General features: G+C 36.3%; 1 protein-coding gene across 7 annotated transcripts in view, besides 1 other annotated feature; it reads left to right on the top strand.

Moving 5' to 3' along the window:
- Positions 1 to 24,025, top strand: part of STPG2 (sperm tail PG-rich repeat containing 2) — a 702,228-nt gene that overhangs the window by 13,834 nt on the left and 664,369 nt on the right. For 4 of the 7 annotated variants that reach the window (XM_047450118.1, XM_011531886.4, NM_174952.3 and 1 more), the window contains 3 exons: positions 1,051 to 1,215; positions 20,338 to 20,450; positions 23,579 to 23,690. In XM_047450118.1, coding sequence (XP_047306074.1) covers positions 1,051 to 1,215; positions 20,338 to 20,450; positions 23,579 to 23,690 — 390 coding nt within the window. Of the gene's footprint in view, positions 1 to 1,050; positions 1,216 to 20,337; positions 20,451 to 23,578; positions 23,691 to 24,025 lie in introns of those variants that run through there. The other 3 variants (XM_017008049.3, XM_047450120.1, XM_017008051.3) reach the window with 2 other exon arrangements.
- Positions 18,047 to 18,872: an enhancer, noted in NCBI's record as "OCT4-NANOG-H3K27ac hESC enhancer chr4:99031922-99032747 (GRCh37/hg19 assembly coordinates)". NCBI's record gives its function as "activates a minimal SCP1, AML or CMV promoter by ChIP-STARR-seq in primed H9 embryonic stem cells {active_cell/tissue: H9 hESC(primed)}" and the evidence as "EXISTENCE:reporter gene assay evidence [ECO:0000049][PMID:30033119]".

Genomic DNA, 24,025 nt, shown 5'->3' with positions numbered 1-24,025 from the left:
TTTAAATTATAAAATATTTTCCATTAATCCAAATTTCGATAAAAGGATAATCACCCTAAAACTTCTGACTCTAACATTAATTTTCTGTTAATTTTTGTATAGCTTCTTTTGGTATTAAATTATATATGTATGTGACTTTATACATTTATATATAATTTCACATAACTTAGCTATATTCATAGTTCACTTTTATATTTTGCTATTTCCATTTAGCATTACATCATAGATATTTTCCTGCTATATAGCTTGCATACTTAGGACATTTATACAAGACTCAGGAAATGTGGAAACAAAAAGTCAGGAGCTGGGAAGGAATGAAGCCAGAAAGTATTACTGAAAAATACAAAGTTTGTTTTTGCATAGTAGATAGTATAATAGCATGATTGTTGATGTGAATAGGATTGCCTGTTTTTAGAATTAGTAATGGTGGCTTTACTAAGCAAGATAAATAACTGACCCAAACGAGAAAGAATCTTTGCTTCTTATGATGACTTTAATAGTTATCTATTCTATTCTATTCTAAATTTAATAGAAATACATTCTCTTGGTTTAAAGGTGAAGCAACAGACTTGAATTCACTCCTTTAAATTACTTTTACAAAACATTTTTGGCCAGGCACAGTGGCTCATGCCTGTAATCCCAGCACTTTGGGAGGCCGAGGCTGGCAGATCATTTGAGGTCAGGAGTTCGAGACCAGCCTGGCCAACATGGTAAAACCCTGTCTCTACTAAGAATACAAACATTAGCCAAGCATAGTGGTGCATGCCTGTAGTCCCAGCTACTTGGGAGGCTGAGGTCGAGGGGAGAATCACTTGAACCTGGGAGACAGAGGTTGCAGTGAGCCAAGATTGTACCACTGCACTCCAGCCTGGGTGACAGAGTGAGACCCTATCTCAAAAAAAACAATAACAAAACAAACATTTTTGTTTTATATCATGAAACTCATTAAATCAATATTTAATAGTTGCCTTTTAGTAACTTTTAATATTTGGTTCTTCATTCCCCTTCCTCTTGCCTTGGAATAAATAATATAAAATGTTTTCCTTGCAGAAAATTTCAAGATCACCTACACTTACCAGAAGTGTTGATGTTCCTTCAATTCCTTCTTGTGGAAAGTCATATGGTTATCATATTAATGATGATGGCAGTATTATAAAATGTTTTCCACCTGCTTGTGACAGTACACTTGGTCCAGCATACTACAAACCTCAATTTGTAAGTATAATGTATTTCATATTGACAATTGGAAAATTGTTTATGATTTACATATGGGTTTCTTTTTTTCCTGGCTTATTTCTCCAAGAAAAAAATGATTACACGTTTTAGTTAATGGAACACTAATTGTGGTAACAAATAGACCCCCAAATTTTAGTGGTTTAATACAGTAGAATTATTTTTCCTCATTCACATGGACATTCTCGTTAAGTGACTTTCCTTCATGCTGAGATTCAGGGACACAGGATTATTCCAGTTGTGCTTCTGTCATCCTCTAGGGCCTTGTTGTCAAGTGTATCAAGCTGGCAGAAGAGGATGGGGAATTATGCTTGGAAGTTTTTGTAGGCCAGGCTTGGAGCTATAGCCAGTCACATGGCCATACTTAACTGCCAGGGAGAATGGGAAATATAGTCTGTGTATCTCAGAAGAAGAAGGAATGGGTATAAATTATTAGGAGTCTCTGCCACAGTGTATAATCATAAATAATACATAGATATTATTTTTCTTAATTTGAAAAGAAAAAACATTTTATTTTTAAAAGAATTTGAATCTGAGAATGTAAACATCATTTATTCCAGAAATGATTATTAAAAAAATAAGGAGCTTCTCTCTGACTGAAATATCAGTTACAATATAGCTAATTCATTTCATCCAGAGTTTAAATTTCAAACCTGACCAGAGTTGTCAAGATTTCACTGAGACAGTTGAAATGTATGTGTTATCCATGAATACAGACAATGAAGATAGATGGTATGTCTGATTTTACTCAATTATAAGACAGAAATACATAGTACTTCGAACCTATGGTATTTTTGTGCTTTAATGAGATGTAGAAGAAGTAATTCTAGTGAGGAAAATTCTAAAACTAAGCATATATTTAAGGAAAGGCTGAAGAGACACCTTGGGCAAAGAAAAGGCATTCTCAGTATTTATCTTGATCTTTATTCCCAGTATTCTATAGTTATTTGTTGGTATGTGACTACATCTTTGGGCTTAGACATAAGCACCTTCAAAAACCATTTGGTTTGTGGCAGTAGCTACACTGGGAAGTTTTTGGGGTTTTAGATCCTTTGAACCATTAAAATCTTTTTTCTTAAAACATTTTAATTGTAACTTATTTCAAACACATAGATACTGTGAAAATAGTAATGGATACCTATGTACCCATCACACAGATAAAACACAGGTTAAAATTTCGTCACATTGGAATGAGCTTTATTTTAAAAAAATATGTTATTACGATGTTTGCCCCATTCTCCTGTCTTCATTCCTCTCCCTTTGCCACAATAAACATTAAACCTTCATTACATATTCATATATGAATAATAATATATATTGTTTTATGATTTTAAAAATTTAAATAAATATTATCTGGTGTATATGTTGCTTGGTTTTTTGCTTACTGTTATATTTTCCAGATATAACCGTATGAGTATATTAGATCTAATTCATTCATTGTTCCCAGTTAGATGTTTCTTTTTAAAAAATAATTTAATATTTTGAAATAGTTTCAGACTTATAGAAAAACTTACAATAATAATAATCCTATCCTTCACTCAGATCCTGCAGGTGTTAACATTTTATCACATTTGTTGTATCATTTTTTCTCCCCATATATTTATATTATTATTTTTATTAAATCATCTGGGAGTACATTTTGGATATGACGCCTCTTTACCCCTAAGTAGTTCAGTGTAAGTGTTCTAATAACAAGACATTAAACACTAGCTGAAGATGGCCAATTAGAAGCAGCTGTGGTCTGTGGCTCTCACTGAGAAGAATGAAAATGGCAAGTGAATTCACCTTCAACTAAGGTATCCAGGTTCTCTCATTGGGACTGACTAGGCGGTTGGTGCAACCCACAGAGAGTGAGGAAAAGCAGAGTGGGGTGATGATGGCCCACCTGGGAGCTGCATGGGGCAAGGGGAGCTCCCTTCCCTAGCCAAAGGAGGCAGTGAGTGATTGTGTTACCCTGTCCAGGAAACTACACTTTTCTCATGGATCTTTGCAACTCATGGACCAGGAGATCCCCTCGTGAGCCCACACCACCCGGGCCTTGGATCCCCAAGCACAGAGCTGTGCAGGCTGACGGGGGCCACTCAGGTTGGCAGCCACTCAGGCATGTGGCCACTTGGGCAGGCACTGAGATGCAGGAGTTGTTTTTCATACTCTGGCCCAGGGAATTCTGGTGAGGCAGGAGATCATCCACTCCTGTAGGAAGGGGGCTGAAGCCAGGGAACCAAGCAGCATCATTCAGTGGGCCCCCCTCCCATGGAACCTCACTAGCTAAGACCCACTGGCTTGGAATCTCTGCTGCCTAGCAGCAGCAGGCTGGAGACTGCCTAAGATGACTGAGTTCCCCAGGGGAGGGGTGGCTGCCATCTCTGCAGCTACAGTTGGCTGTTTTCTTCTGCCAGTGCCAGAGAGACTGGTCTGTACTGGGAAGAATTCCCCACACCACGGCACAGTGGGTGTGGCAGACTATAGCCAGACTGCTTCAAGTGGGACCCTGATCCATCCCTCATCACTGGTCAGGGCCTCCCCATGGGAATTTCAGCAACTCCAGCCAGGGGTTTATGGACAGGACTCTGATCTCCCTGGGACAGAGCCCCTGGCGGGAGGGGCAGCCACAATCTCTGCAGTGCACTGTATTTACTCTTTCCTGCCAGCTGGCCCTGGAGAGTCTGGACAGTCTAGACAAGGGGGATTCATCCCAGTTCAGCACACCTGCTCTGCCAAGGAGTGGCCAGACTGCTTCTTTAAGCAGGTCCCTGATCTTGTTCCTCCTGTCTGGGTGAGACCTTCCAATAGGGGTTGCCAGACACCTCATACAGGAGTGTTCCAGCTGGCATCAGGTCGGTGCCCTCTGGGACAGAGCTTCTAGAGGAAAGAGCATGCTGTCATCTTTGCTGTTTTGCAGCCCCCATTTGTGATGCCTCCAGGTGGGGGAGGGACCTAGGCAAATAGGGTGTGGACCCCCAGAAAACTGCAGCCCTACAGAGGAGGGCCCTGATGTTAAGAGACAAACAAACAGCAACAACAACAACATCAACAAAAAAGACCCCACAAAAAACCCCATCCAAAGGTCCAGCAGCCTCAAAGATCAAAAGAAGATAAGCCCACAAAGATGAGAAAGAATCAATGCAAAAATGCTGAAAACTCAAAAAGCCACCATGCCTTTTCTCCTCCAAATGATTGCAATACCTCTTCAGCAAGGACACAGAACTGGGCTGAGACTGAGATGGATGAATTGATAGAAGTAGGCTTCAGAAGGTGGGCAATAATGAACTTCACTGAACGAAAGGAGCATGTTCTACCCAATGCAAAGAAACTAAGAACCATGATAAAACTATAGGAGCTGCTAACCAGAATAACAAGTTTAAAGAGAAACATAAACACCTTGATGGAGCTGAAAAACACAACATGAAAACTTCACAGTGCAATCACAAGTGTCAATAGCCAAACAAACCAAGTGGAGAAAAGAATCTCAGAGTTGAAGAGTATCTTGTTGCAATAAGACAGGCAGACATGATTAGAGAAAAAGAAATGGAAAGGAATGAACAAAACCTCTGAAAAATGTGGGATTATGTAAAAAGACTGAACCTATGACTGACTGGCATACATGAAAGAGATGGGGAGAATGGAACCAAGTTGGAAAACATACCTTGGGATATCATCCTAGAGAACTTCCCCAAACTAGCAAGGCAGGCTGACATTCAAATTCAGGAAATCCAGAGAACCCCAGTAAGATACTACATGAGATAAACCCAAAGACACATAATCATCAGATTATCCAAGGTCAAAATGAAAGAAAACATGTTAAGGGGCAGTCAGAGAGAAAGGCCAAGTCACCTACAAAGGGAAGCCCATCAGAGAAAGAGTGGACCTCTCAGCAGAAACCCTACAAGCTAGAAGAGATTGGGGGCCAATATTCAACATTCTGAAAGAAAAGAATTTCCAACCCAGAATTTCATATTTGGCCAAACTAAGCTTCATAAGTGAAGGAGAAATAAAATCCTTTACAGACAATCAAATGCTGAGGGAATTTGTCACCACCAGGCCTGCCTTATCAGAGCTCCTGAAGGAAGCACTACATATGGAAAGAAAAAACCGTTACTGGCCACTACACAAACACACTGAAGTTCACAGGCCAATGACACTGTGAAGCAACTACATAAAGGAGTCTGCAAAATGACTGGCTAGCATCATGATGACAGGATCAAATTTATACATAACAATGTTAACCTTAAATGTAAATGGACTAAATGCCCCAATAAAAGACACAGAATAGCAGGCCACATAAACAGTCAAGATCCATCGGTGTGCTGTATTCAAGAGACCTATCTCAGGCAAAGACACACACAGGCTCAAAATAAAGGGATGGAGGAACATTTACCAAGCTAATGGAAAACAGAAAAAAGCAAGGGTTGTAATCCTAGTTTCTGACAAAACAGACTTTAAACCAACAAAGATCAAAAAAGATAAGGGCATTATATAATGGCAAAGGATTCAAGTCAACAAGAAGAGCTAAGTATTCTAAAAATATATGGGCCCAATACAGGAGAACCCAGATTCATAAAGCAAGTTCTTAGAGACCTACAAAGAGACTTAGATTCCCACACAATAATAGTGGGAGACTTTGACATCTCACTAGCAATATTAGATCATCAAGACAGAACATTAACAAAGGTATTCAGGACCTGAAGTGAGCTCTAAATCACCTGGACCTGATAGATATCTACAGAACTCTCTACCCCAAAACAACAGAATATACGTTCTTCTCGGCACTACATGGCACTTTATCTAAAATTGATCACATAATTGGAAGCAAAACACTCCTGAGCAAATGAAAAGAACTGAAATCATAATGAACAGTCTCTCAGACAACAGCGTAATCAAAATAGAACTAAAGATTTAAAAAGTCACTCAAAACCACACGACTATATGGAAATTGAACAACCTGCTTCTGAATGACTCCTGGGTAAATAATGAAATTAAGGCATAAATCAAGAAGTTCTTTGAAACTAAAGAGAACAAAGAGACAATGTACCAGAATCTCTGAGATGCAGCTAAAGCAGTGTTAAGAGCGAATTTATAGAAATAAATGCCCACATTAAAAAGCTAGAAAGATCTCAAATCTACACTCTAACATTACAACTAAAAGAACTAGAGAATCGAGAGCAAACAAACCCTAAAGCTAGCAGAAGACAAGAAATATTATCAGAATGGTACTGAAGGAGATAGAGACATGAAAAACCCTTCAAAAAATCAATGAACCCAGAAGCTATTTTTTGAAATTAATAAAATAGATAGACTGATAACTAGAATAACAAAGAAGAAAAGAGAGAAGAATCAAATAGACACAATCAGAAATGATAAAGGAGATCTCATCACTGACCCCACAGAAATACAAACAACCATCAGAGGATACTATAAACACCTCTGTGCAAATGAACTACAAAAATCTAGAAGAAATGGATAAATTCCTGGATGCATACACCCTCCCAAGACTGAACCAGGAAGAAGTTGAATCGCTGAATAGACCAATAATGAGTTCTGAAATCGAAGCAGTAATAATGAGTTCTGAAATCGAGGCCTACCAACCGAAAAAAGCCCAGGACCAGACAGATTTACAGCTAAATTCTACTAGAGGTACAAAGAGGAGCTGATACTACTTCTTCTGAAACTATTCCAAAAAAAATGAAAAGGAGGGACTCCTCCTTAACTCATTTTCTGAGGCCAGCATCATCCTGATACCAAAACCTGGCAGAGAGATAACAAAAAAAGAAAACTGTAGGCCAATATCCCTGATGAGCATTGATGCAAAAAATCCTCAAAAAATACTGGCAAGCCAAATCCAGCAGCCCATCAAAAAGCTTATCCACCATGATCAAGTTGCAAGGTTGGTTCAACATATGCAAATTAATAAATGTAATTCATCATGTAAACAGAACTAAATACAAAAATCACATGATTATCTTGATAGACACAGAAAAGGCCTTTGATAAAATTCAACATCCTTTCATGTTAAAAACTCTCAATAAACTACATATTGAAGGAACATACCTCAAAATAATAAGAGCCATATATGACAAACCCACAGCCGATATACTAAATGGGCAAAACCTGGGAGCATTCCTTTTGAAAACTGGCACAAGACAATGATGCCCTCTCTCACCACTCCTATTCAACATAGTATTGGAAGTTTTGGCCAGGGAAATCAGGCAAGAGAGAGACATAAAGTTTATTCAAATAAGAAGAGAGGAAGTCAAATTATCTTTGTTTGCAGGTGACATGATTCTACATCTAGAAAGCCCAATTGTCTCAGCCCAAAAGCCTCTTAAGCTGATAAGCAACTTTAGCAAAATCTCAGGATGCAAAATCAGTGTGCAAAAATCACAGGCATTTGGTCGAGTGTGGTGGCTCACGCTTGTAGTCCCAGCACTTTGGGAGGCTGATGCGGGTGGATCACGAGGTCAAGAGATTGAGACCATCCTGGCCAACATGGTGAAACTCCGTCTGTACTAAAAATACAAAAATTAGCTTGGCATGGTGATGCACGCCTGTAGTCCCAGCTACTTGGGAGGCTGAGGCAGCAGAATTGCTTGAACCCTGGAGGTGGAAGTTGCAGTGAGCCGAGATCATGCCACTGCACTCCAGCCTAGTGACAGAGTGAGACTCTGTCACACACACACACACAAAAAAAATCACAGGCATTCCTATACACCAACAAGAGACAAGCAGAGAGCTAAATCATAAATGAACTCCCTTTCACAATTGCTACCAAAATAATAAAATACCTAGGAATACAGCTAACAAGGGAAGTGAAGGACCTCTTCAAGTAGAACTACAAACCTCTGCTCAAGGAAGCCAGAACGGACACAAACAAATGAAAAAACATTGCATGTTCATGGATAGGAAGAATCCATATCATGAAAAAGGCTATATTGCCTAAAGTAATTTATAGATTCAATGCTATTTTCTTTAAACTACCATTGACATTCTTCACAGAATTAGTAAAAGCTATTTTAAAATTCATATGGAACCAAAAGAGTCTGTATAGCCAAGACAATCCTAAGCAAAAAGAACAAAACTAGAGGCATCACACTAGCTGACTTCAACCTATATTACAAGGCTACATTAACCAAAACAGCTTGGTCCTGGTAGAAAAACAGAAATGTAGACCAATGGAACAGAATATAGAACTCAGAAATAACATTGCATATCTGATCTTCAACAAACCTGACAAAAACAAGCAATGGGGAAAGGATTCCCTATTTAATAAATTGTGCTGGGAGAACTGGCTAGCTATATGCAGAGAACTGAAACTGGACCCCTTCTTTATGCCTTATACAAAAATTAGCTCAAGATATGGATTAAAGAAATGTAAAATCCAAAACTATAAAAATCCTAGAAGAAAATCTGAGCAATACCATTGAGAACATAGGCACAGGCAAAAATTTCATGACAGAAATGCTAAAAGCAATTGACACAGAAGCAAAAATTGACAACTGGGACCTAATTAAAGAGCTGCTGCACAGCAAAAGAAACTTATCATCAGCACAAACAGACAACCTACAGAATGGGAGAAAATTTTTGCAATCTATCCATTTGACAGAGGTCTAATATCCAAAGTCTATAGGGAACTTAACCAAATTTACAATAAAAAACAACCCCAGTAAAAAAGGGGCAAAGGACATGAACAGACACTCCTCAAAAGAAGATATTTGTGTAGCCAACAAGCATATACAAAAAAGCTCATCACTGATCATTAGAGGAATGCAAACCAAAACCACAATGAGATACCATCTCACACCAGTCAGAATGGCGATTATTAAAAAGTCAAGAAACAACAGATGCTGGCAAGGTTGCAGAGAAATAGGAATGCCTTTACACTGTTGGTGGAAATGTAAATTAGGTCAATCATTGTGGAAGACAGTGTGGTGATTCCTCAGAGATCTAGAAGCAGAAATACCACTTGACCCAGCAATCTTATTACTGGGTATATACCCAGAGGAATATAAATCACTCTATTATAAAGATACTTGTGGCTGGGCGTGGTGGCTCATGCCTGTAATCCCTGCACTTTGGAAGGCCGAGGCAGGTGGATCATGAGGTCAGGAGTTCAAGACCAGCCTGATCAATATGGTGAAACCCCGTCTCTACTAAAAATACAAACATTAGCCAGGTGTGGTACCATGCACCTGTAGTCCCAGTTACTCGGGAGGCTGAGGCAGAAGAATCGCTTGAACCTGGGAGGTAGAGGTTGCAGTGAGCTAAGATTGAGCCACTGTACTCCAGCCTGGGTGACAGAGCAAGACTCCATTTCAAACAAAAACAAAAACAAAAACAAAAAAAATGCATGAATATGTTCATTCCAGCACTATTCACAATAGTAAAGCCATGGAATCAACCCAACTGCCATCAATGATAGACTGGATAAAGAAAATGTGACACATATACGCCATGGAATACTATACAGCCATAAAAAGGATTGACCATAAAAAGGAACAATGTCATGTCCTTTGCAGGGACATGGATGGAGCTGGAAGCCATTATCCTCAGCAAATAACACAGGAACAGAAGTCCAAACACAACATGTTCTTATAAGTGGGAGCTAAATGATGAGAGCACATGGGCACAAGGAGGGGAACAACACACACTGGGGCCCATTGGGGGTAGGTTTGGGGGATGGAGAGCATCAGAAAAAAATAGCTAATGCATGTGGGGCTTAATATGCAGCAAACCACCATGGCACATGTTTACCTATGTAACAAACCTGCACATTCTGCTGATATACCCTGGAACTTAAAAAAAAAAAGGCATTCTTTTTTATAACCATAATGCAGTTATCAAAATCAGGGCATTTCATTCATTATTATGAAAAATATTGCTAATTACCTCAATTGTATCTTTTATAGAAAAAAAGATTTTTGATTCAGAGTTCAGTCTGATATTACATGTTGCATTTAGTTGCATGTCTCTTTAGAATCTCTTAATTTGGAACAGTTCTTCAGTATTTGTCTTCTTTAATCTTTACTTTTTTTTTGAAGAGTACAGTTTATTTATTTTGTAGAATATGCTTCAGTTATGGGTTTGTATATATTATGAATATCTGAAGGTTTGTTTAATATTTTGGCAGGAGTACTATAGAAGTGATAGGTTCTTAATATATCATGTTAAGAGTAACAAGGTATTTATCTCATAAATGATTATGTTAACTTGAGGTGGTGACTTCTAGTTTTAACTCATGTAAAGTGAATATTTTTTGAGGATTACTTTAAGACTAAATAGATATTTCATTCCTCATCAAACTCTTACCTATTTCTCATCAAACTCTCACTTAATAGTTTTAACATCTATTGATGATTCCTGAACCAGTTTTACCATGATGCTTATCAAATGGTGATTTTCTAACTCTATTTTTTAACCTTTATTTGTTGGCATTTTACTATAAAGAAGAGCTTTATTTTTTCCCCATTTATATATTTATATCAGTATGGATTTGTGAATTCCTATTTTACTCAAAGTGCTATAATTTATTTCTTTATTGTTTATTTTGAGGCATTAGTGATTCCAGATTTGACCCTTGGGAGCCTTGTAAGCCACTTTTTGTGTCCTTTTGACATGTTCATATCATTCTTTGAAAATTTCCTTACTTTCTGGCATAAAAAGATATTCCAGGTTCATTTTATTCATTTGCTTGCCTGAGCCTTGCAATCAGCCACTTCTTTAAGGAGCCCTACTTCCATAGCAGCAGAATGTATTTCAAAGTAAGATCTGTATACTAGGTACATGCATTGTTACTGGGTGTTATGGCTTCTAGGTCATCTCAATGGACAGAGTAAGAAATCTATACTTCTTCTTTGTCTGTTAAAACCTGTGAGTTTATACATATACCTCCAATTTCAGTCTAACACTACAGGTTTATTCTAGACTTTCTCTTTCCATATTTGACTCGCTACTTCCACAGTAAGAAACCTAGCTCCCATTATCCAGAATTATGTACCTATTTGCTTAATCCCATAGTACATTGAAAGTAGTTTTAGAATTGGTAAACTATCACTGCAAAAAAAAGAGTTGAGATTCTACAAGCTCTTACCTTTGGGTGACCTTGAGGCTCTACACAAGCAGGAAGTGATGGCTAAACACAGATTTGTAAATTGACCGCTTGAGCATTAAAATTATGCCTCAACACATGTACAGAGGGCCTTGGCAAAGGTTGGAGATTTATTGGTTCAAGGCACTTAAGAAAATTTTTGTCCAGACATTACCTGACCACTCAGCTAATTAGGCTGAGATTTCAGTGTACAAAGAATACAGAGTTTAGAGAATTAGTCTTGGAAAATCACTAAACAAACCCTCAGGGTAGGAATTCTGATCTTCATAGTTGTCACATTATATCATACAAAATATCTGGTTTCAGCAAAGAATTTTGAGACATGCAAATAATAAAAAAATGGCCCATATACAGAAAAAGAAATTGTTCTTGAGGAAGCCAAGGCATTAGACTTCTTAGATAAAATTTTTAAATTAGCTATTTTAAATATGTTCAAAGAAATAAAGCAAACTATGTCTGAAGAACTAAATGGAAGTATAAGAATAGTGCCTTACCCAATAGAGAGCATCAATAAAGAGATAGAAATTATAAAAACAAACCGAGTAGAAATCTGGATTTGAAAATTACAATAATGGAAATGAAAAACTTTCTAGAGGAGCCCAAAAGAAAATTTGAATTGGCTGAAGAAAGAATCAGTTAACTTGAAGACATGTCAATTGATATTATGCAGTCTGATGAACAGAAAGAAAATAGGATGAAGAAGAGTATTCAGAGCCTCAGAGATCTAGGGGACACTGTCGAGTATACCAACATACACATAATGGGAATCCCAGAAGCGGAGGAGAAAGAGGAAGGAGAAAAGAGAATATTTGAAGAAATCATGGCTGAAAACATCCCAAATTTGATGAAAAAACATTACAGAAAGAAGAAGCTCAACAAACTCTAAGTAAGATTAATGCAAAGAGATGCACACCTAGACACATCACAGTCAAGCTGTTGAAAGCCAAAGACAAAAAGAAAATCTTGAGGGCAGCAAGAAAAAAGTGACATATCATATAGAAGGAATCCTCCAAAAGGTTAATAGAAATCATGAGGTCAGAGGGAGGGGGATGACTTATTCAAAGTGTTGAAAAAACAGACTGCCAATCAAGAATTCCAGAATCAGCAAAGCTATTCCTTGAAAATAAAGGAGAAATTAAGACATTTTCAGATAAATGGAAGCTGACAGAATTTGTTGCTGGCACACCCCCTAAAAGAAATACCAAATGGAGTCTTCAGGCTGAAATGAAATGTTATCAGACAATAACTCAAATTCACATAAATAATTAAAGAACAATGATAAAGGTAAATATATAAGCCAGTATTATTTAATTTTTGATTTTTAAGTTTTTAGAAGAATTCCTATTGATTATGGAACAAACTAGAAATAATACATTTTGTGTTTAAATACAGTAGTAGGCAGATATTTTAAGACTAATGGATTGTTTCATGCTATAAAACTTTTGAAGAACCAGATTAATTCTGGTAACATGAAAAGTAAGGATAATATAAGTTACATGTTTCCTTTTCTAACCATAAGAATTCCCATTTCTTTCTGGCCATGGGAGTTTTTGTCTCAAGAATATTTCATTCTCTCTCTCTATGACATACCTGGTCTTCTAGGCCTTGACTGTCCCATCATCCTATTAATAACAATGTGACAATTAATCTTCATTAAGATATTTAAGTATCTTAAATATTTGAGTAAGATATTCTTATGTGAACAATAGGTTCAATTCTGTAAAAACTCCAGTGAAATGGTCTTATGATTTGATATTAGGATATTCTCCCCAAGGTGACGGACAAGTTATGCAAAGAAGTGTAATGGAGCCAGACTTCCTGGTTATGTGTCCTGACTCTACCACTTAATAGTTATTAGTCCTTGGCCAAGTTACTTAATCTTTGTGCTCAGTTTCCTTACCTAAAATATCCTGAGAAAAATAACTATGGTCTAACATATTGGAATAAGTATTCTTCACAATTAGTCATAGATTCTTGGCTTTAGCTTAATAATTCCCTAATCACTCATAACTTACATCTCAAAATGTAATTCTTGCTTTAAGCTATTTTTTTTTTGTTTCAGAATAATGTGTCATCTATTAGAAGGCCACAATGATGCCTCCAAGCTTCCCTGCATGTATAAAATCCTTTCCCCACATGAATAAGCATTACTTAGACATATAAAACTTGATTACTTCCTGGCTAAATTATTATTTATAGAAATAAGGAAGAAGAAGAAGACATTTATTTGATGACCTAATTTATTTGATGGCCTAATTTAATAAGTATTGAATCAATACAACTTATTATTTATTTATTGGAATAAAAATCTAGATGTAATTTAAAAACATATAAAAACGTAGTTTTCTGTATCAGTTAAAGACATAGTTCATAATATTCAAGAAGATTCAGCAAAGTTTAATACAAACGGAATTGTGATATTTTTTGAAATCCTCATCTTGTATTTGAGAGAACTAGAGATAGCGTGGCAAAGCTCAGTAGCTGAAGGCTTTATTTTCTTCTGTTTCTCCTGCAGAAAAACACAGGTTCTTCACAAACTACTGCCAAATTGATACTGTAATAATGTTAATTCAAATCTTATCTGAATTTTCGATAATTCTGGGTAACTCTTTGCTTGCTTTTTGAAATAATATTTAATACTATATGTGGGTTTAGTTTCCAGAGGTGCATATTGATAGAAAATTAAGAAAATAATCCAATAGATGGGTAATTATTGTGATTCTTTCTTAACTGGTGAATCACATCTGCTGAAGCTGTCTAATAAAGCTTAAATACAGAATTAAGAGTTGTGTAAGACTCTAAGTGACAAATGTTAAACTTTAGCTAAATTTAATTTGTGAAGAGAAATTCTACAAAAAAGTTATTTTATATAACATTTTGAATGATAAAGTTTAGCTTCTTTCTTCTTTTAGAAGAGCCCAGGTAACTATTAGAAATCTATTTTTCAGAGGTGTATTTCACAAGCAAAGTTTGTGATTGGAATGATGATACTGACATATTTGCTAATGATAACATGCTGGGAACTACCTGTGTGCTGCCACACTGGAAAACAGTTCATTAGTGTTTGAATTATTGCACTTTGGGCCTTTTAATTCTTCACAAATTCTATTTCCATATTTAATTATGGAAAGACATGGGGGAAAGTTGCATAGCCCCATCTTCATTTATTTAATTGTCAGTGAGAGTGGCAGTTAGTAATTCTTCTTCAAATTATAATATAGCATTTACTTAAAATAATGCAGTTCCATGCTGAGTTTGCTTCAATTAAGTCATATTTTATTTGCTAATGATTTTCAAAATTGACAGTGACCTTGAAGTTGGTATTGCCAACACTTCTTGACATAAAAGAAACTGTAATTTAGAGATAAGAGTGCATCAATTTATCCTTTGTTTTCTGTCTGTATTTTTAAAAGCCTTTTAAATTTCTGATTCAACATCTACCTGAGTACCGCAGAGGTTAATGAGTTAAGTACTTGTCAATTCATGTGGTTTAAATGAAATGGATATTATTGTAGACACACACACACACACACACACACACAAAAAAAAAAAAATGGATATTATTGTGGGGTCTTAAATTGTGTGTGTGTGCACATGTACACATACATAATCTTTCCTCCTACTGGATTACTATTAGAATTGTGAAACAATTGAATCATAAAATCTCAATAATGTAAATTCACTTAAAGAAAGCTTCTTCAATAGAATCCTGCTCAAGGTCTTGAATCCTTGCATTAAAAGAGTTAATACAAAACCTTAACATGATTTTAGGCTATAAAAATGTGATGTAAAAGATGACATCAAAATGCTGTATTTTAAAATACTGATTTTTTGACAAATGTATAGGCTATAGTAAATCAACATATTAGATATGTTCTTGTGTGAAATATATACAATGTCTAAAATATCCAGCATGACTATATTATATTAGAATGTAGTTTCACATTTTGTACTTCACTGTCTGTTATGGTCATAATATAGTAGAAAAAAATATGCACAATTATGATGTTCTGCTTTATTTCTGAGTTAAAAATAAACTCTAACATAAATGGGAAATTTCATTCTTTCTGCCATCAAAACTGCCTATGTACTTTAAAATCCATGGTTGTATTAGGTAATTGCATTTGAAAGGTGATCTGGAGCACTTACTTTAGCAAGAGAAAGTGTTGTTTGGCTAGGTTCTCTCTCTTCCTTAAGTTCTGTTTGGCACAGCAGTCTTTGGAATTGCCACTGACCCTATAAGAAGAGGAGAGAGGAGTGTTTTCAACTACTCTAGTGGATGCTAGGGTTTCTCCGTGCTCTTTTACTGGCATGTACTGCTGTGCTGGACATGTCAGACTCTGCCACTTTTGTAAGTCATTCTGCTAAGTTTTATAGCATTTGTCTCTGCCCCCCTACACCCACCAAACCCAATGCCTTTGGATGGTCTGACTCCCTTATTTCCTTTTGTGTTATACTTAGGAATTCCAAAGTAGTGTATATATACCCTATGTGTTGCAGAGATTTGTGGGATAGCTCTTTCAGTTTTTATTCATAGCTTTGTTCCTTCAAGGACATGACAAGGGGCTGGGCTTTGGAATTGTGTATCAAATTAGAATCCCTACTTGTAATAATAATAATAATGCTATTAAGAATAATAATATATTACTTTGAGATAGTGCTTTATAAGACTGTCACTCATCACTCAGTGTTAAAGCTGAATGTCCATAGTGAAGAAGGGCAAATGCCTTTCTGCTCTTTGTGTTGCAGCAGAAGGGATTTGCAGATCAATAATTCAAGCCCACTGAGACCACGTACAGTGCTGGAAATATTCCTAGAGGAAATAAGGATTAATCCTTTTTATTTATATAACACATTTTCCCAGGCTTCATTGGATTGGAGTTACTAAAGAGAGTTGCAATAATGTTAATAACTTAAATACCATTTTTTTTTGTCTGTAACTATCAATGTAGAGGACATATAGCCTTTTGCAAAGTTCTTCTACCCATGTATTTCTAGACATCCCTGGGGGCTGTCTCAGCTATGCTCCCGAATAAGTCTCTTTCCATTGAGTACAGCTGCTGTTCCACCAGGCACTTCAGTCTCTTGCCATATGGTGCTCTCTGCTGGGCATTTCCACCAATGTTCTCTTTCACAGCTAAAGCTGCCGGATTAGCTGGGATAAAGTAGGGGGAGGATGATGATGTCTTTCTTCGTGTTATACTCTGTTAGAAAGGTTCAAAAGTAGTGCAGGTTTTTTTTTTTCTTTTAGCCAATATTTTAATGAAACAGTTGTTTTAGTTTTTTTTTTTTTTCATAGTTTCTTCACACTCAAAAGGATATGAGGCATAAAGTCATTGAGGATTGTCTGTGTTAGAACGCAAACCCAGTTGACAGAAAATCCCCAGTATTTAGCATTGCCACTCTTTTGACACTAAGATTTTCTTACTAGGTGTGGGGCATCATGATTATCTCCTTCTTCTCATAGGATTAGTTTTTACATTTGCCTTTTGGTTGTTTTGCTTTGTTCACCAGGTATTCCAAAACATGTCTGAATTCTACTTGGACATAGCAGACGACTTCTTGTTTCTCTCTTCTCAGCTCCAATATTCTCTACCACCAAAGAAAGAAACAATCAAGGGGATTTACTAAAATCAAAGCAGGATAACTCTTTAGAAAAACTATAATTTTCTGTACACGTTTGCATCTATGAAAAAAGAATCAACAAAGGTCTCATTTTACTTCATGCAAACATTAAAGTTCTGTCAGAGGTTGTGTTAGTCTTTGTATTAGGATTCTGCAGAGAAACAGAACCAATGCTTACACAGTCATGTGTCAATCAATGATAGGGATACGTCCTAAGAAATGCATTGTTAGGTGATTTTGTCATTGTGTGAACATCATAGAGTATATTTACACAAATCTAGATGGTATAGTCTATGACACACCTAAGCTATATGGTATAGCCCATTGTTTCTGTGGTTCAAGCCTGAATAGCATGTTATTGTACTGTCTGGTACAGATTACAAAGATACAGATACACAATGGTATTTGTGTATCTAAATACATCTAAACATTGAAAGGGAACAATAAATATATGGTGTTATAATCTTACGGGCTCACCATTGTATATCTGGTCCATTGTCATATATGCAGTCCATCATTGAAACATCATTATGTGGTACATAACTATATATGTGAGATGGGGTTTATTCTGGGAATTGGCTCATGTGATTATGGAGGCTGAGAAGTCCCATGATATGCTGTCTGCAAGCTGGAGAAATAAGGGAGCTGGTGGAGTAGCTGAGTTCAAGTCTGAAGGCCTGAGAACCACGGGAGCTGATGGTATAACTCTTAGTCCAAGGATAAAAGCCTGAGAACCTGAGGGGCTGCTGGGGAAAGTCCAAGAATCCAAAGGCTAGAAAACCTGGAGTTCTGATGTCCGAAGGTAGGAGAAGATGGGCATCTCAGATCCAGAAAAGAGAACAAATTTACCTTTCTTCTGTCTTTTTGTTCTATCTGGGCCCTCAGCTGATTGAAAGGTGCCCACGACATTGGGTGAGGATGGTTCACTGATTCAAATGCCTATCTATTCTGGAAACAGCCTCAAATACATACCCAGAAATAACACTTTATCAGCTATGTGAGTATTCCTTAACTCAGTCAAATTGACATCTAAAGTTGACCATCACAATCCGCATTTAATTTTTTCAGGCCAGGCAGATGTAGAAGGGAAAGTTAATTCTATTGTGCTTATATATTATAATGTGTGGGGGCTAGGTGTTAGTGGTAAGTTCAAGGAATTTTAGTGTGCGCCAGCTTCTTTTTGGATTTTGTTGTGGCACCTCAAAGCTTTCTGGAGTGGTGCCTCTCTAACTAGAAAGTCACTAGGGGCAGGGGAAAGTGCTTTCAATTTAGTTTCAACTACATCTGCCAATAATAAAGTGGAGGTTAGCATTCTCCTCATCACTTAATGTAATGGCACTGGTGCACATCTCCAAAGGTGCTAGTAGTTTTGAGAATTGCCCCCTACTCGCTACCTAAGAGTTTATCTCCAGTTTCTGTTTTTTTGGGGATGTTAAGAGGGTTCAGCTGAGACTCTTTTCAAATGTAATGAGGTCCTTTTCTGGTTCTGGGGATGTTAAGAGGGTTCAGCTGAGACTCTTTTCAAATGTAATGAGGTCCTTTTCTGGTTCTGGGGATGTTAAGTGGGTTCAGCTGAGACTCTTTTCATATGTAATGAGGTCCTTTTCTGGTTCTAGTCTTTGCTGTGCTATATCTTCCAGAAAGTCCTTAAAGTTTCTGGCATGTGAAGTTTCTAGCACTTACTTGTGTCTATTTGATATACTTCTTTTAAAATTTTGGAGTCGGGTGGGGCAGGTATGGATTTGATTCACCATTTTGTACTGAAATTATGCTTTTGTCACTAATGTTGCTACTTACTGCATTATTATTGCTTATAATGGTAACTGAGAGAGGTTGGTTCCACTGCTGTAGAATAGTAATAGCCACCTAGAACAACTTAGCGGTTACAAATCCTTATGGGTATGCAGCCAGCTCAATTCTTGCCTCCTCATAAGAGAGAATTCAATCGAGGGGCATAAGGCAGAGTGAGAGACCAAGGCAAGTTTTAGAGTGGGAGTAAAAATTTATTAAAAAGGAAGTAAAGAACACTTGGAAGAGGGCCCAGCAGGTGATTTGAGAGATCAAGTGCATGGATTGACCTTTTAACTTTGGGTTTTGTATGTTGGCATGCTTCCAGGGTCTTGCATTACTTGTCCCCTGAGTCTTTCCTTGGGGTGGGCTGTTCACATGCTCAGTGGCTTTCTAGCACTTGAGAGGGGCCACGTGTGCAGTGTGTTTACTGGAGTTGTACACATGCTCACTTGAGGCATTCTTACCTTTCCAGTTGAATGCGCCTAGAGGGTCATATGCTGGTTAAACACGGCCATTTTGCCTTTTAGTGTGCATGTGTGAGCCCATTCGCGCAACTCCTGAGATGTTATCTGGAAGCTGCTGATCACCAGCTTCAGGATTTTTCTCTTGGGAGACTGCCTTTCCCTGGTGCCAGCTGCAATGAATTATTATTTTAGACTGTTAACAACTGCCTGACCATCACCTGATGGTCGCCTGACATTCTTGGCTGGGGGGGCTCTCTCTTACCCTGCTCATGTCAGGCTGTCTACCTGCTGTAACAACTTGACACATTGTTAAACTATATGTTATGGAAATTATAGTAAATACCATTAGCTTAAAAATATGTTTTAAAATATTCTTAAATGATTTCTCAACTAAGAATGTTTTAGGTCAAGAGGATTCCTGTAAAAAAGAAGCTACTGTTGTGTTATGCTTTATTGTTTTAGTTTCTGGTGAAACAGTGTGCTTAAACTTTTTATGGTTCATGCTTAATTTTAACATTTATTGTAGTGGGTATAAAGGAAAGATGATTATTTCTCATGTCACAAATAATTTCTCTGTCATTAAAAGACTGATCCTGTCTTTAAGCATTAGCAATAAAATGAACTAGGGTAGTGTTTAATTTATTGTTAAGTATTTCTAACTCTGTTTAAAGGTTACATTAATATGAAGTTATGTAATGACCATTGGTGATGTTTGCATTTTTTCAATCTGTTTAGTTAAGGTAATTTTTAATAGGTATTTCTATTTCCCAAATAATGTTATCCCCTCTCTCTTTTTTAAATGATGAGGAGCTAATTTTCATTTTTCTTAAGGTTTTAGATTACTGGGTGTACTGCCAAGAGCAAAGCTGTTCATATTGGTTGAGAATATGCTAATGTTAGAGGTACTTCTCTGGGAACCCTAGCTGACTCAGGAGTGGAATGGGAACCAACAGTGACAACTTAGCCTGGGATCTATCCAAGAGCACTTTAGCATTTACCAGTGGAACCCCCTTACTGAGGCTATCCTTGCTTTAGATTTAGACTTAGGTAAAGCCAAACATTGTTTCATGACTTATTTAAACTATGTTTCATCCTCACTTTTTAAAACTTTTTATTTTTTAGGATGTTTCCAATGCAACTTTGAAATACAAAGGTATACATTTTGGCAACTCTTCAGGAAGACAAGAGTTACCTAAAAAGTCAGGTCCTGGTCCAGGACAGTATGATATAGTCCAGTAAGTAAAAAAATATAGTATACCTTTAATGTAGCTCTTGACTAGAAAAGTATTTTAATAATTCAGACTAGGCTATGCTGTAAAGAAAGGAAAAATTAGTATGAAAAACTCCAAGAAGTATTACATTTTGGTGTAATGTATATGAAAGTTATTGATTTTTTAAATTATACTTTAAGTTTTGGGATACATGTGCAGAACATGCAGGCTTGTTACATGGGTATACATGTGCCATAGTGTTTTGCTGCACCCATCAACCCATCATCTATATTAGGTATTTCTCCTAATGCTATCTCTCCCCTAGCCCCCCATCCCCCCAAGTTAATTGTTTTTTTATAAGCCAAATCTTGTGCTATCTACTATATATGCATTAACTCATTTAATCTTCACAGCAAGCTTTGCATAGTTAATATTGTTACATCTATTTTATCAGTAAAAAATGCAAGGGTTAGAGGGGATAAATAACATGTTCAAGATCATGCAGCTATTAAATGGCAGAGCTAAAGTTAAATTGAAGCCCGTTTGATTATACAGCACATGTAGCCATGTACTAAAATATACTGTCCTTAATTATAAAGTAGATAAAAGATCAGAGAAAATGTAAAAGAAGGTGACCCAGAATTCTCCATTTTATCCCTGGCTCTCATCTTCAGTCCTCTGACTACATGATGGATTTAGAAGGCATTCTCAGTCAGTGTAAGTCCGAGAATATTTATGAAGAAATACATTTCTGGCAAAATAACTCTATTTTCTCCTACTGCCACAGTCAGGTTTTAGACATGAGTTCATGGAAGGCAAAATTGAGTAACAAATACCACGTTGTCCTCAGAATCTACTACCCTTTCTTATAATTAATTTTTTAAGGGTCCAGCTTATCTGCCTGATTCTTTTTCTTTCATAGCATAAATTTTCTCCCAAGAAGCCCCAGAGTGATTACGTACTCAATTAATTTGCTAGACAGATCAGATATTTCTGTTTACTAGCAGTGGATGTATTTTAGGATCTTGCTTGGACTCCCCTGCTACTGTTCATTCATTGAGTAAACATTGTTTGAATTCTTGCTATGTGCCAGTTCTGAACTTAGTAACTGAGAATAACAAGAATAAAACATGGCGTTTGTTTTTGGGAATTTATACTCTAATCCATTATGCTGTTCACTTTTTCACTCTCTTAATATGGAATATATACCTTTGTATTTTTATTCTTTTAGTAGTTATGCTAGAACCTTAACATGCATATTTAGCTTAATTAAGTCTTTACTTAATATTATTATTATTATTCCAAGCAAGACAAGGTCTGTAGAATACTCTAACACATATCATAGTCTTCTTGACATATGCTTTTGTTCTTCAGTATTTTAATCCTATCCTTTTCTTCTGCCATATTGGCTGATTTGTGCTCATGCTCTCTCTCTCTCACCGTCTCTCTTTCCCCTCTTCTCAGTTTTATTGAGGTTTAAATAGCATAAATCAAAATTCATCTTTTAAAATGTATATCATTCTGTGATGATTGTTTTCATTCCATTTCACTATACTTCTGCCTGAGTACCCCAGGCATACCCGGGACTGTAAGCAGTGTTAACTGATTCTGCTTGGTGGTTTTTCCTACCAGTCTGTTTTACTTCTCAACCTTGTCCCACTCTCATTCCTCCCCCATTTGTTGTGCTGTTGCTTTATTTGATCTTTGTTATTTCTCCTGTTTTTCCTCTTCTTCCATTTGTGTTTTAACCTGAAGAAATGTATGAATATGGATTTCATTCCTGACTGCTTCAGTTACTTCACCGTTTTTGTAATTTGTTTGCTCTTTGAGTTAGCTGCTTTCACTGTATCTTTGACTTGTAGTTGTCTCAGTTCCTTCTGGCAGTTGATATTTTCTACTTGTTTTTTTCTTTCTTAGACTTTTTGTTTTATTTAGTGAGTCAGAATTATTCTTGGAGGCTTGATTCAGTATAAAAGTGGAGATATTTGGTTACTCTAAATGAAAGATAAGTGTATAGGTCTCTTTTTGGTAAAGATACAGACCTAAATGATATGTGACATTTCTGATATTCCACATATAAATTTCTTATCCATAAACCTTTCTGAGGTTTGAAAGCGGTTTATTTGTTGAGTTTTTAGCAAATAACAATCAGTGAGGAGGTGAGCCTTTAGCAGTGAGCGGGGATGGTAAGTGCATATTAAATCATAGCACTGCTGAACAAAGAAAGTAATAGCAATTACATAACTTTGTATTATATATTTTTTAATCTGCATATGTTTGGTATAGTTTGTTGGAAATGTTGGGTATCAGATTTTTTTTGAAATTATCTTTACAAAATAGAAAAAATAGTAGTGTGGTCTGTATAGCCTGTTTAAATGTGATTCTTGCAATAATAATAGCTAACAGTTACTGTGTGCTTATTATGAGCCATGTATGGCATTAACCACCTTACATATATTGTCTACTTTAATCATTGCAACCTTGAGAATTGGTTATTACTATTTCCAATTACCAGTTTCCAATCACCAGATTCATTGGGTGATGAATCTGAAGCTTAGAGAAGTTAGTTTGCATAAGGTTATATAACCAATAGGTAGCAGTAGGTAGCAATGCTGGGATCTTATTAGGCTGTCTAACTCCAAAGCTGGGGCTCTTGCTCACTGCTTATTTAGTTTCTGATTCTTTCTTGAGGTTGTCTGAATTTCAATGAAAAGAAGCTTCCTTTTTGTTTTCATAGATCTTTATGCCCTTTTCTGATTATTTTATGATATAAATAGCATAGGGCTATTTTCCTCTTATTTTGATAATAGTTGATTTGGAATTTTAGACTTTTAATGGTACATAGACTACACAGGAAACTTTTTTTTAGGGTTAGCTTTTTGTTCAATAAATACCAGATCTTATTTTCTTTTTGTAATAATTATTCAGATAGGTTTATAATAATGATCTGAATTGGAAAAAAATCATAACTAACCAAGAAAACTAATACATTTTACAAAATTTTGAATATATTGGTCTAATATACCTAGATAATCTTATTATTCCATAGTTTAATTGCAGGACATGTTGCTGTAGAAAGAATTTCTTTGCTTACATAAATATTTATAGGTTTAAAATTGAGAATTCTTAATTTCTATTTGAATTTTCTGAAGGAAAAAGACATCATATTATGAAAATGTTAACATCAAGAGAGATCAACAACAAAATTATTGTTCATTTATCCCACGACTATATGAAATAATAGTATTGCAGGAGAAAAAAAAGGTAAGTTGAAAAGTGGCTAATGCATATATTTTCCCAATTTTAAGATCATTGAATCCTGTTATCACAAGGTTACTGTGCTCTTTGATCTAATGTGCCTGATAGCTAATCGTCATTCAATGAATATTGTAGAAGGAAGTATTTATTATTTCTGTCAAGTGGTTGCTGTCTCTGCTTGAAAACCTTCTTGCAAAGAACTCATGACTCCTAAGTTGGTTTTTTAAATGATTTAAATGCAAGAAAAATGAAACAAAGGGTAGAACACAAAAATCCCTGTGAATTTTCAAAAGCCAAATTTTACAATCCCTACATTATTACCATTTACTGCTGGTTTTTTT

This window comes from Homo sapiens, chromosome 4, assembly GCF_000001405.40.
Source record: "Homo sapiens chromosome 4, GRCh38.p14 Primary Assembly".
NCBI lineage: Eukaryota > Metazoa > Chordata > Mammalia > Primates > Hominidae > Homo > Homo sapiens.
The sequence above is the reverse complement of the archived record's forward strand: the minus strand, read 5'-3'. Positions and strand labels throughout refer to the sequence as shown.